A 15187-nucleotide genomic window follows, 5' to 3' on the forward strand; every position below is an offset into this window, starting at 1 on the left:
ACCACAGACATGTGAATAATACACTGTACTGAAACTATTGCTATGACGTCACTAAGTCATAGGAAATTTCCAGCTCCGTTATAATCTAGTGGGACCACTATCTACGTGCAGTCAGTCATTGACCAAAACATCATTTTGTGGCACGTGACTGTATATCATGTCCTTTGTTAATCGAAACAATACAGATTTCTACTGTTTGAGTATTTAACGTGAATGATGTTTATGCTTATATAAAGGCACAATATATAATTACACAAATATATAAAAACAAATATATATAAAAACAAAAATTACACACGATAACTGGAGCACTTAGAATTTACTCTATATGATATGTGTATATATATATGTTTATATGATGTAAATACACACACACACACAGAACTTACGATGATTAATATTAGGTGTCAGCCTGATTGGATTGAAGGATGCCTGGATAGCTGGTAAAGTGTTGTTTCTGGCTGTGTCTGTGACGGTGTTGCCAGAGGAGACTGACATTTGACTCAGTGGACTGGGCGAAGAAGACCCATCCTCGGTGTGGGTGGGCACCATCCAATGGCTGCCAGAGCGAGTAGAACAAAGCAGCTAGAAGAAGGTGGGGTAAGCTGGCTTGCTGTGTTCGGCTTTCATTTTTTTCCCGTGCTGGATGCTTCCTTCGTTCCTCCTGCCCTTGGACATCAGACTCCAGGTTCTTCAGCCTTTGGACTCTTGTACTTACACCAGTGGTTCTACAGGGGCTCCTAGGCCTTCGGCCACAGACTGAAGGCTGCACTTTTGGCTTCTCTGCTTCTGAGGCTTTTACTGAGCCACTACTGGCTTCTTTCTTCCCCCAGCTTGCAGATGGCCTATTGTGGGACTTTGCCTTGTGATCGTGTGAGCCAATTCTCCCTAATAAACTCCCTTTCATATATACACGTATCCTATTAGTTCTGTCCATCTGGAGAACCCTAACACCGAACCTACATATGAATTACTGTGACTATTGCAAATAATGGCAATATCTGGTTTCCTATGGGTTATGGCTAAGTTGGAAGTCAATAAGAAGTGAAAATATACTTTTAATGTAACATGAAATAAAATAATTTTCAAGCAGTTTAAGAAATTGGAGTGAATTAGTTATTACAAACTCTAAAGAAAATAAAATTCAAATTTCTTCAATAGATTAAGCACACCTTCCCAATGAAAACTTGGATATTCAAAAAGAAGACTTAAAGTAAAGGAATTATGTGGATATACCTAATTGGATATTGAATAGATAGTGTATTAATGACAAAGTTTCCAACATTGAAATAAATATTTGTATTAGAATTTGGGGAGCAGATACAGGCTAACTGGCAAATAAAATAGAGAGTAATCTTACTTTGTTTGTACTGCTATAATAAAATATCACAAACTAAGCAATCTATTAACCATACAGATATATTACTCACAGTTCAGACAACAGGGAGGTCCCAGATCAAAGTGCCAGCAGGTGTGTTGTAAATTGTATTAAATTAACAAGTTTCTATGTGGAAAGTAAACAATGAAAATATTTATTATGAAAACATAAGGGAACAACAGAGTTTAAACACTTGGTAATGTTCAATCAGAATGTAATAAAAATGAAGTTATAATTAATACCTGTGCTTACATATTTCCATATAAATAAAATACATAAGAATTATATTTTAGATATTGATAATTATATTAAGTATAGAGTAATTTGAATTTAAAAGCAAAGAATGTATATATTCAGTAATAACTGTTTGTTGTCTTTATTAGACATGCCTTTCATGTAAGCATAAAGAAAAATGAATATAAAAGTGGAGCCACCATATGATCCAGCAATCCCACTCCCAGGTATATACCCAAAAGCAAGAAAATCAGTTTATCTAAGGGATAGCTGTACTCCCATGTTTGTTGCAGCACTGTTCACAATAGCTAAGATCTGGAAGCTACCTAAGTGTCCATCAACAGATGAATGGACAAAGAAAATGTGGTATATATAAACAATGGAGCAATATTCAGCCATAAAAAAGGAATGAGACCCTGTCATTTGCTATAACATGAATGGAACCAGGGGTCATTATGTTAAATAAAATAAGCCAGTCGCAGGAAGACAATCATCACATGCTCTCACTTACCTGTGGGATTTAAAAATCACAACAATTGAACTCATGGAGAGAGACAGTAGAAGGATGGTTACCAGAGATTGAGAAGGATAGTGGAAGGGTAGTAGTAGGGAGGTGAAAATGGTTAATTAATGGGTACGAAAAAAAGATAGAAAGGATGAGTAAGACCTAGTGTTTGATAGCACAACAGGGTCACTACAGTCAATAATAATTTAATTGTACTTTTAAAAATAACTAAAGAGTATAACTGGATTGTTTGTAACAAAAGAATAAATCCTTAGGGAGATGGAAACACCATTTTTACATGATGTCATTATTATGCACTGCATGTCTCCCTCAAAACAGCTCACGGACCCCATGAACATATACACCTACTATGTACGCACTGAAATTAAAATTAAAATATTTAAACAAGGAAAGATGAGGATAAAATATTTAACAACATATACCATGCCTCACAAACTGGTAGAACACTATTACAGTTGTAATAGTGCCGTCTTAATATAAGGCAAGCCCTTTACTGGAATTGAGGAAGCATGCTTCATAATGTAAGATTAATTTTCCAAACCACTAGTAATATACATTTTTTATCATTGCATGTACCTAATGCTACAAGTTCAACATATAATTGAATAAAGTGAATAAGTAACAATCATAAATGGGATTTTAAACCCTTTTCTCTCAGTGCTTAACACATAAACAAGCCACAGAGCTGACAGAAAGATCTGAACTAGACACGTAGTTATCACTCATATGCACACACTCACACACGTAGAATACTCACATATTTAATTTCACATATTTTTCCCAAATACACTGTAATCTCATAATTCTAAGCATATTAGTAAAAAATATAGGACTATGATTTCAATGTAGTACCACTAGCCAAGCTTGGCCAGTGGATAGTTAAAAAATAGCTATTCTAATTCAACATTAATTAATACCAAATAAATAACATATAAAGCCAGTTTCTCAGCACACTAGCCACATCTTTGCATACAAAGATGAAGAATATTTCCAGCTTCATAGAAAATGTTCTAACTACAGTTTACCTACAATAGAAGTCAATAAAAAAATCTGACAACCTCAATGGTTTTAAATTCAGTAATATATATCCAAATAACATATGGGTGAAATAAATTATCAAAATGAATGGTCACAATTTTTATATGAATTATAAGGAAAATAGAATGAAAATCTCTCTTGTAAAAACTGATTGCCCTCAATGTACATATATTACAAAAGATGACCTAAAAATTAAATAACCATTGAATGCACTAAAATAAATTAAAAATAGAAAAGCTAAAACTAAATACAAGTGGTGTATAAGAAAATAATGAATAAACAGTAAAAAATCACGATAAAGAATAATGTTACAATAGAGAGAACAGCAAGGCCAAAGGTATTTTCATTGAAAATGCTTTTAAAACTTGATGAACGACTACTAAAAATATACACCTACTAACGTATCCACAAAAATAATAAATTTAACATTTTAAAAAATTGATAAGGGCCAGGCACAATGATGCCTCCCAAAGTGCTGGGATTATAGGCTTGAGCCACCACAACTGGCCTATTTCTAGATTAAACATGGCAATACCATTATGGTCTTTACAGTTATTTAGTGGCAATAAAACTGTATTTTCATTACATTTTAATGTCTATATGAAATAGAAAATTCATACATACTCATTACCAAACGCAGTGCATCAAATAGAAATCCGAGTATATCCTACATGTTTTAAAGAAATTCAGTTTAGACATAAACTTTCCTAGAAAAATAGTCTACAAACTCAGATGGCATAACTAGTGAATTATAACATTTAAAAATAAAGCAGTACGCTCAATAAATGCTTCTAGGTTATAGAAAAAGAGAAATTCTTCCCAAGATAGCCTTGATATCAAAACCTTTCAAGTATATAGCTATGAATAAAAACATGGTCAAATATCCTTGTGAACGTGGATGAAGAAACAAATCTTACCCTACATAAAATATATATGCACTAATTTTTTTTTTTTTTTTTTTTTTTTGAGACAGAGTCTCCCTCTGTCGCCAGGTTGGAGTGCAGTGGTGCACTCTCGGCTCACTGCAACCTCCGACCCCTGGTTTGAAGTGATTCTCCTGCCTCAGCCTCTCGAGTAGCTGGGACTATAGGTGCACACCACCACACCCAGCTAGTTTTTGTATTTTTAGTACAGATGGGGTTTCAGCACGTTGGCTAGGATGGTCTCAATCTCTTGACCTCCTGATCCACCGGCCTCAGTCTCCCAAAGTGCTGGGATTACAGACATCAGCCACCACACCCGGCCAGCACTGATATTTTATGAGGGAAATATACAATGATCACCATGGATTTATTTCAGAAACAAAGGCTGGTTTAACATTTGAAAAAATAAAAGTAGTTTATAAAATGTTATATAAATACAACATATATCATTCCAACTGCTACAAATTAATAAAAATGTTACAATTGATAAAATCTATTAGAAAATAGGAATATTATAAAACTGCTTCGATATGAGAAAGATAGGATGAAAACAACACCAAGCTTTGTAAATATGAATAATATGTTTAAGTATTTTTTGCCAAAATCAGAAAACGATACATATGATACACACAGAACTTTGATTGTACCTTCTATTCAACTATGGGTATAAAACCCTAGCCAGTGAAAATAAATGAAAATAAAACTACGTTATAGCATATAGATTAAAAAAATAAAAGTGTGATCATGTGCAGATAAAATTGCTCGTTATATAGAACACCCAGAAATAAATCAATAGTTGACATAATAGATTTACATATATAAAATCAGTGGAATAAGTAGATATAAAATCAAAATGCAGACATCAGTTGTATTTCTATTTATAACAACAAAAATTACTAAAGGGAATTTTAGAATCAGGATGCCATTTACAAAAGCATAAATGTAAAATACCTACATTTCTGTATGACTTCAATCCCCCAAAATACAAAATACAATAGAGAGAAATTAAAGATAACACAGTACATTGAAGGAAACACTTTATATTGATTAGAAAAGTCAATATTATAAAGAAGCTAATCTTTAAAAATTACTTTAGAGAATAAATGCAGTCACAAATAATCCCAGGAGAGGCTTTTTTTTTTTTTCTGGATAGCTTTATTGAAGTGTCGTGTACAAAGCATACATTTCATGCACTTAAAATGATTAAAAATCAATGATGTTTAGTATATTCGCAGAGTTACAACCATCACCACTACTGAAATTTAGAAAGTTTTCATCACGACACAAAGTAACGTTCTATCAGTTAGAGGTCATCTCCTATTTCAACCTCCCTCAGACATTGGCAACCACTATTCTACTTTCTGTCTCCATGGGTTTGACTGTTCTTGGTACTTCCTATAAGCTGACTCACATAACATGCAACTTTTAGAAAGGCTGAAAACCACAAATACCATGTTGAGCAAAATGAGCCCGACACAAATGCTAGGATGTCTGTACTTTAGTAATTGTGTGTATCCTGTTTCAATAATTGATTTAGAATTTTCTTATTAGAGCAAATAACATAATTCATTTTAAGATTTATGCAATCATAATATATTTCTATTTTAAGAAATATACAATTTATCTGATGCACTGCAAATGCAAACGCTTTACCTCTAAAGCTTATGCTTACAATGATATATTATTGAAGATCCACACTGGGCTGATTTAAGTCGATTTACTTGTAGCACTGCACAGTTAAGTTCAGCATTATCTGAGTCTTTTATCCTGTAATGGAGAAAAATCCATATTCTGTTACATTTTAAGCAAATGATTCATGAGACGAAAGCATTTTCCATGTACTGTAAGAAAATAATTTCATGGAAAAGGGTAATTAAATTTTTCATAATATTAGTAAGAGTCATTATTCTGAACACTCAACAGAGTAGTCCCCCTTCATCCACGAGGGATATGTTTCAAGATTCCAGTGGATGCCTGAAACGGCAGATAGTGCAGAACCTATAGAGAGATTATGTTTTCTCTACACATTCATAACTGTGATAAAATTTAATTTATAAATTAGGCACAATAAGAGATTGACAACAATAACTACTAATAACAAAATTATAGCAATATGCCAACAGCACTACTCTTGTGCTTTGAGGATATTCTTAAGAAAAAAAGTAAGTGTGGCTTTTTAATAAAAACAAGCACTGCAATTCCCTGATAGTCCAGCTCGAGCTTGTCCAACTCGCTGCCCACGGGCCGCATGTGACCCAGGACAGCTTCAAATGCGGCCCAATACATATACGTAAACTTTCTTAAAACATTCTGTGATTTTTTTTTTCTTTTTTTTGCTCGTCAGCTATCGTTAGTGTTAGTGTATTTTATGTGTGGCCCAAGACTCTTCTTCTTCCAATGTGGCCCACAGAAGCCAAAGATTGGACACCTGATAATCAAGAAGGTTACTAGCTGACCAATGAGCGGTTGAAATATATGGACTACTATGGTCTATTGTAAAATATTTATGTCAGCATTTCACTAACTTTCCACATCTTTCTTCATCTCTATGATTCCACATAGATTTATTCATATTATTCTTCTGAATTTATCCTTTATATATATATTGTTATATAGCGCCATACAAAACAACTTACTCATGTTTGAAAGCCAAACCATTCATTGTCACCCATGGATGATGACTGCTGTTACGAAACACACCAATCCATGAGGATGGTGAAATGATGGACAGAAATTTCTAAAAGAAAAGAAAGAATTTTCACTTAAATAATAATTATGAAAACATTACAAAAACAATATATTAAATTTGAAAACCACTATTTGCAGTGCCAAAAACTTTCATAAATGTTTATAATTTTGATATAAATGAACCCGTCAATGTTTATACTTAGTACTTTTATTCTTCTCATGTTAATAAAGAAGTTTTAATTCTTGCATTATAATAGTTACCCCAATTGACTGAATAAACACAGTAAGGATTTAAATAAGTCTCCTGATACTGTGCATTCATTCCTCCAGATACTGTGACTAAATCAAACTATTTTTGTGCTATATTTCTCAGAGTTGGAGATTTAGAAGAGAAATTAGAGGTTGTGATTCAGAAATAAATGACATGGAAGCTACATATTGGGTTTTCTGGGTACCACACCATTCTTTAACTAGATAAGCCCTCACTTTTTTATCTGATTTGGTTTTGGTGGAATAACAGTGATCCTGACCAGGTGGTGTAGACTCGTCTCTCTCTGCTACTCCCTACTAAAAACAACTATAAACTCTGGGATTAATGAAAGACAAAAGCAATGGAGAACTCTGAAAGGTGGAAAGAGAAAGATGAAATTGTCTGGGACCCTAGCATCAGGGATCAACCAAGTGTCCGAGCGAGCATGTTAAGTCCTCCACACGACAGAAGAAGGTGACCTAGGCCTGCTGTTTCCCTACACCCAACCTGGCAATAGGAGGAGGCCCAGCAAAGCTCACTCCTGTTCTGTATTGAAGGGGAGTCCCCTCCGCAACAACAGGCAAGGCTGGTACCACTGGCAAGGATGATCTACCAGGAGACTTGCTACCAATACAGCCAGAGGAAGTACTTCCTTCTCATACCAAGAGACACCAGAGTGGATGTGGGTGAGGAGGATCAGCAAAGGAACCCAATGACTACCAGTGCACCACCCAGGGTCCTCTTTGTCCCTGAGGGCATGAGACTCACTTCCCCATCCAGAGACACAGGATTGAATGGATTCTTAGTGTTCTTTGTACATACTACAGCAGTGAACAGTAATAAACGACAGATAACCGCAATAATATGGAGGAATTGCATAAATATCAGATAGGAGTGAAAAACACAGACATGAAATTCACAGTGTATGATTCCCTTTATATAAATTCAAAAGCAGGTAAACGTTATTTATAACATTAAAAGTCAAGACAGTGTTTTGGAGAGGAGTCAGGATAAGTGATGAGGGCATACACAGGGGTGGAACTACTAGAGCTGGAAACTTTTATTTCATGATCTGACTTGTATCACAGGAGTTCATTCACTTTGTGATCAATCTGCATGACCAGATCACATCATGCCCGATAAAATTAGATAGCAAAATGTATTGTGGATTGAAAGCATTTCTAGAAGCATGGTTTTCCATGAAAAGCAAAAACTGAAAATAATCAAAAGTACATTAGCAGTATATGAATTTTAAAACATTATTAAGTCAATCAATTAAATACTACATAAACTTGAAAACATATAAGCTAAATGTATATACCCACACATATGGATGATTTCTACAAATATATTATCGACCGAAAGAAGCTTTTCATAAAGTGTTTAAAACATTTACATCTTACCATTTCTTCTTCATTATCTATAGAAAGCAGACTGGAGTTCTTCGAAGTACAGGCCAGCAAACTCTCTTCCCAAGTTCTTCTTTCCTTACCAATGTAGTAACAACTGTTGGAATATGTAATCCACTCCTCAGGACAATGGCCACAATGACGTGCTAAATAAAGATATGAATTACTATCTAGACCAATATGAATTTTTAAAAATGAAAATTAGTTCACATATTTGCAAACATATAAACCTATACGTATGCAACATATCTATACATCTTCATGGGCTGGTAAATATATAGTGTCAAAATACCCAGTCACTTATACACACATGCGCAATAAAGGGTCAGCCTTTCATCTCCTAATTGTGTTCCCATATAAAGCAAACCAGCAAACAAAAATCCACTCTATACATGTCTTGAAAAATCAATGAACTAATCTGATTTTTAAGGAACAATAAATAACTTGTATCTTATCATATTATAGCAGTAAGAATTTGAACACAACAGATAAAAAGAAAGCATAGTGATTTTACTTATAGTTGATGACAAGTGAATGCCTTACTCTAATTTTATTTATGAACACTTATTGCCAAATTTTATAATTTTTCACCCAAAATTTTATTTTTGTACAGCCTAAGATCAAGAAAAAATAAACTGTACAATATTAAAACTTTAAAAATTATTATATACCTTTCTGAGTTCTTGTATTCAGGGAAGAATTGTTGTGCCTCTGTATTAATGTAGCTAGAAAAATTAAAGTAATCTTTGTAAAAAAATTAGCATCTAAATCAATCATAATAATTTTAAGTTTTTGTTTGAATTTTTTTGTATTATTTAGAGTTAGAATAATATGGAATAAAATTGATTTTAAGAAAAATTTGATAAAGTAATGGTGGTTTTTTGGAAAAGTATTTCATAGATCTAAAGAACCAAATTTCACCATCTCATATAGTTCTTATAATTCTTGATTTAACTACTTTCAAAAATTAATTTCTATTTCTCAGTAAGGTTTTTCAGACTCCTAGAACATATTTTTGAGTTATGAAATCCAAATATATACATACGATTGCATCAGAAGCGAATACTTTCAACAATTATTCTTTCATTTATTCTTTGACAAATTCAGAATAATCATTCCACATTTAGTCCAAATATATACATTACAATGAGAACTCTATTCCCTGAAAATATGAAATGTTTAGAGGCACATTCAATCATTAACGTGAAAATTCCCCTTGTAATCTTCGAAAATAGACTTACAGGGAATAACAACTATCGTTACCACAGAGGCCATTAAGATAAGACAGATAATTCCCAGGATCCCAACAATGAGCTTCTCTGGAGCTGATGGTAAATCTGCAGGGAGAGAAATGGGAACAGTGCGAAAGGAGAGGTGGATACAGTCGTTTAGAAGATTCACAGACAAGAGAACCTGAATGCACAGGAATCATACAGAGAAACTTGGACCCCAAACCCTCATCTCCCATTGTAATCTTTTTCTCAGAATAATATACCATTGAATTTTCAGGAAAAATAATGCTCCATGAATTATTTGACAAAGACTACAAACTTCAACAATGAGTTCAATCAGTCTTCATACTTTACATTGAAATAGCATATCTCAACTTGGAATTCTGATCTTTGCAAATAGAAGATATATGAGCACTCCCTTCTCTTTCCCCACATTCCTGTACCCCAAGCTGCACATCCTAGACTGTTATATTGAGGATCTTTTAAATGCTTTACCTTTGCAGTGATAGGTTTTGTCATTCCCTTGAAAATCCTGAGAAGCTTTTTGAAGGTTTAATTCCGCATAGGTTATTTCCTGTTCAGTTGCTAAAATGGAGTTTTTATTGCCTTTAGGTTTTCGTTGCTGCCTCTTTGGGTTTGGGGGCAGATTCAGGTCTGAGTAGATTACTCCTTGGTTATCCATCTCTGCAGTGTGTGATGTCAGGGACTGTACTCTATAATAACAGTAGTTAAGAAGTTAATAAATGGTTTATATACAGGATTCCCTAGTGCAATTAAAAGGGTGAGGTGGAGAACGAGTATTGGAGCTCATTTTGCATTAAATAATCTAAAGTTCTTTCTCTGATTTTCTTCAAGCCTAAACACGTTTCTTATGAATATTTGTTTTAAAAAAAGATTTTTAGGCCGGGCGCGGTGGCTCACGCCTGTAATCCCAGCACTTTGGGAGGCCGAGGCATGCCGATCACGAGGTCAGGAGATCGAGACCATCCTGGCTAACACGGTGAAACTCCGTCTCTACTAAAAATACAAAAAGTAGTCGGGCATGATGTCAGGCGCCTGTAGTCCTAGCTACTCGGGAGGCTGAGGCAGGAGAATCTCTTGAACATGGGCGGCAGAGGTTGCAGTGAGCGGAGATTGTGCCACTGCACTCCAGCCTGGGCGACAGAGTGAGACTCCGACTCAAAAAAAAAAGATAAATTTTCTGCATTTGACAAAATATTATTGCTGGGGCAATGAGAAGCAATAAATTACTAAGGAATAAAGAAGTTCAGGAATAAAAATATATTTCTTAAAGTCTGATGTTTTACCTGTGTTAAAAATTAAAATGTTGTATTAGAAAAACTTCTGCACTCATTTTTATGTTAATTTTGAAATCCAGTAATGGTTAAGACTATGTGGTCTGCACATGAGTAATAGTAAAGTTGACATATATATATATAAAAATTTCTTGCACTACATTACTTTTAATTAGTAATTTATACACATTAATGAAAATCAATAGAGGTAATTAAATGGTCTTTTCTTAATGGCTGAAATGTTCTAAGAAATTATTAAAAATTATTTATTAAAAATTATAAAAAATTAAATATTTGTATATGACAGAAAATGCTATGTGACACAGTTAACTTATGCATAACCTAAATAGTATTAGGAACACTACATAAATTGTTAATACTTACAGAAGTATTGGTAATTTAATTAGTAATTGGTAATTTATTTCCTGGCTAAATTATGAACCAAAAAATGATAAATAAAAGTATAGGTAATTCATGTTAAAGCACATTTCATTTAAACTTATAGAATGATTTTATGGTTGTCAAAGTGAGTAAAGGCCACTTTAGTTGTATAAGTACTTGTAAAATTTCAGATAATGTAATTAAATCATTTAGTCAATGGGCTCTGGAGTCAGTGAGATCTAGAATTAATTCTAGCTTTGACACTTATAATGTGCGACCTTTAAAAAGTTATTCTATTTTTAATAACCCAGTTTGTTAATCTAAAATGGGCATAAGAACATATAAAACGTTGCATGTAAAACATTTACCACTCAACCTGGCACTTAAAGTTCTCAATAAGCATTAGCTACTTTAATTATTATTTTAGTCACAATTGTTATGTTACTGTTTCTGATTCATGTCAGTTAAAGCATGGAAAATAAATCTTCAGATAAGTCTCCTATGTCCATGCGCTACATCTTTTTTTGCAATATTTTGATCAATTTTTAAAAAGTATTTTTATTGCTTTGTAATACCTTTAGCATTTTATGTAATCTACCTCATTCTGATTTTTATTAAAAATAAAAACTGCTTTTCTCTAATCTACGTGTCTGAGGAATTGTATTTGGCTTTCATCAATTGATTGATTTATTTTAATAATCTTTAATGGCTAAGCTAAATATAAATTATTATTCAAAGATACATGATGTACTGATTACAAAATACAAAATTAATTGTTCATTATTGTGATGTTAATAGCTTTCCCTTAAACGATATTGATCAACAAACCCACTAGATTTCCACAAACAATAATTTGAAAACTTTAAGAAATCCTTCAACATATTTCATATTTTAGGTTTTTACCCTGAGTTATTCAAATGAAGACAGCAATATTCTACTTTGATTTTATTGTATATTAATTATACCTCCTTTGTATCATATTGAGCACTTGAAATCACCCACTAAATGAGGTAGGCTAGTAGAGAGTTGGAGAGTAGCAATACATACCTTCTGTCCCCAGAAAGTCACACATCCTTTAGTGGAGAGGCCAGGTTAGTCTCATAAAAAGGCCTGCTATAGCTGTGTAATAAAAGGTGAAATTTAAAGGCATAAATCCAAGACAAGAACAAACAATGCCTGCAATCTTCGCAGACTGCCCTGTGAAGGCTCAGAGTGAGTCAAGAGTGGAAAAAGTAGATTTCTCATCAACGTGTTACTAAGGTTTGAACAGGAAATTCTACACATGGGCTATTGTGAAATCAGTTTTATCTCATCACACACCTCCAAAATATAGGATACTTGGTCTATTAAAAGTACAAGGTTGACTTTGAAAGTGTGTCATTTAGTTGGTTCATTTTTCAAGTGCCTATGAGAATTTTTTTTTTTTCTGTCTTGATCACGAACATTGTCAACCCTCACCTTGTTAAGAGTGCCTTTTAGACTAGGTTGCTAAATCTTAACATTGCATACTTCTTTTCTTTATATTATTTTATTATGTCACTTCCATTATAATAGAAAACATTCTAAAACTCATAGTAATATTATCAACTGATATCTACTGATTTTTTCCTTAATTATTCTGAAAAATTACTGCAGTAATTACTCAATTGATTGTAGCTGGCACAAAAAGCATCATTGCCAAAGTTATATTATTAACTTCTCTTAGTTCTTAAATTTTTGCACTTAATTTTTAAAAATAGATTATTTAATCTTCAGATTACCCTTGATAAAAATATCTTGGATAGGTAAAATATTAATCAATTTTGAAATATATTAGCATACCAGAAATTGAAATATTAAATAGCTATTCATTACATTCTTCATTTATTCATCCTCCGCCATAACAAATTATGTCGACTTTCATAGAAATATTTAGTTGTAAATGACAAAAACTGAAGTCAAACTATGTATGGGGAAAAAGTAATTTTAAAATCTTACTAGGAGGAAAGTCAGTAAATTGGCAGAATAGGTGGTCCCCCACACATATGCCCCCACAGCAACAATAATTTTTCAGCCATCCACAGACAAAAGTTCCTTTGAGGGAGTTTGGAATTCAAGTAGGAGTTTGTAAAATGCCAGTGGAACCCAAGACCTAGGAAGGTTGTTTTAGGGAATAGATTTGCATCCAAGTGGCAGACTTACCAACAGTGATTCCATCTCCAGACCTGAAAAGGGACCCATCCTCCTGTGCTTGCCTTCAGCCCCATTTAGGCCTTGGTCATGCTGCCAAAACCATTTGCCCAGGGGCCCAGGAGGAGACTCACACACTAGTGTCTCAGGAGGTAGGCATATCAACTGTAGTCTCAATGTAGACCCTGAAACAGCCCTCTAACTTGGCTTTAACTAGTGTCAGCCACAACTTGAGATCAGTCCTTCACCCACAGAGACTTCCTGGGAGACATATACATCTGTACCTCTGGGGCATGCTTGCTGACCTCTGTCCTACAGAAGATACTAAAATGGCCCTGAATCTCCACTCAAACTCCTCTCAACTGTGACCTGAGTTAATCACAGGAAATTGCTGTGAGACTCAATCATCTTTGTCAGCAGTACAGGCTTGCTGACTTCAGTTCCACGGTAGTTTCTGAAACAGCCTTGAATCTTGACCTTCACCCTTCTCAGCTGTGGACTGTGAGCAGTCTTGCCAGCTCAGGGATACAGAGGGAGGACATGTGCATCCATGTCCCAACTAGGAGACCATTGACCTAGGTTTCACAGCAGATCCTTTAATTGGACAGAAAAGGGGCTTCGACACTTCTCAGCTATGCTAGAGAGCAGTTTGCCCATACAGGGACCTGGAGAGAGACATCATTAGTGCCCCTGCAGGCACAGACCTTAGTTTTATTTCAGATCTTGAAACAATTCTGGATCCAGCTCCAGCCCAACTCAACTACAGTCTGAGGCAAATCTGCCTGCCCACAGACCTGCCAGAAAACACACTCAACCATGACCCCAGAGACAGACATGAAGACACTGGTTTCAGCTATAGACCCCGAGGAAACCTTGTGACTTAGCACTAACTCCTCTGTGCCACAGGTTGAGGAACCCACTCAGAGACCCATGAGCAGCCTTCCCAGCAAACTAGATAAACTCTTCCCCAACTACACACCTAATAATAGACCCACCATTTACAGACCTTGAAGTGGACCCTCATCCCCTCCCCAGCCCTATACAGTATGATTCTAGAGCCAGTTTGGCCCTCTGAGGCACTAAATAGGATACAAGCCTGCTAGAAGCCCTAGTAAAAGGATCATGAACCAAAGATCCCACTCTGGACCCGTAAGCAACCATGTGATCTGGCTGTAACCCCATTCAACCATGATACTGAAGGCAATCTCATCAGCCCAGGACACTAACAGGAGAAGCTTTTAACCTACCGAAACCAGTCTGTAAAGACTGAAAGAGAGTCTGCTCTTTCAAATGCACAGACATCAGTACAAGGATAAACAAATAACAAAGCATCAGACAAATATGACACCACCAAAGGAAACTAATAAAGCTTTAGCAACTGATCCAAATAAATGGAGATCTATAAGTTTCCTTTAAAGTAATTCAAAACAATCATCTTAAAAAATCTCAGTGAGATGCAAAAGAAAAGAGTAAACAAAAAATACAACTAAAACAAAAAATACATGAACAAAATAAAAATTTAATAAAGAAATATAAACTATTAAAAAGAACCAAACAAAAATTCTGGAGCTGAAGAACACAATGAAAGAAATAAATAAGTCAATAGAGAGTTTTAATGCCCGACTCAATCATGCAGAGGAATTAGTGAACTCAAAAAAAGAGTC

General features: G+C 34.5%; 1 protein-coding gene across 5 annotated transcripts; it reads right to left on the reverse strand.

The window, feature by feature from the left end:
* Positions 1–1467: 1467 nt before the first annotated feature.
* On the reverse strand, positions 1468–13889 carry KLRC1 (killer cell lectin like receptor C1). 5 transcript variants are annotated; one of them, NM_001304448.1, is given in 9 exon segments: positions 1468–1504; positions 5772–5866; positions 6736–6836; positions 8441–8592; positions 9118–9171; positions 9688–9783; positions 10174–10391; positions 12402–12473; positions 13536–13889. In NM_001304448.1, coding segments are annotated over 7 exon segments (687 nt in total). In that variant the 5' UTR covers positions 10361–10391; positions 12402–12473; positions 13536–13889; the 3' UTR covers positions 1468–1502.
* Positions 13890–15187: the final 1298 nt, after the last annotated feature.

The sequence above is a fragment of the Homo sapiens genome, chromosome 12 (assembly GCF_000001405.40).
Source record: "Homo sapiens chromosome 12, GRCh38.p14 Primary Assembly".
NCBI classification, from domain to species: domain Eukaryota; kingdom Metazoa; phylum Chordata; class Mammalia; order Primates; family Hominidae; genus Homo; species Homo sapiens.

What these genes read in the sequence shown, in the direction of transcription:
- KLRC1 (NM_213658.3), bottom strand. Translation starts at nt 10,360, where the DNA reads ATGGATAACCAAGGAGTAATCTACTCAGACCTGAATCTGCCCCCAAAC. An exon ending in CAAAACCTATCACTGCAAAG is followed by an intron (nt 9,784 to 10,173) that starts GTAAAGCATTTA and finishes CTCTCCCTGCAG; the next exon opens with ATTTACCATCAGCTCCAGAG. An exon ending in GGTTTGGCTTTCAAACATGA is followed by an intron (nt 5,867 to 6,735) that starts GTAAGTTGTTTT and finishes TCTCCATTACAG; the next exon opens with GATAAAAGACTCAGATAATG.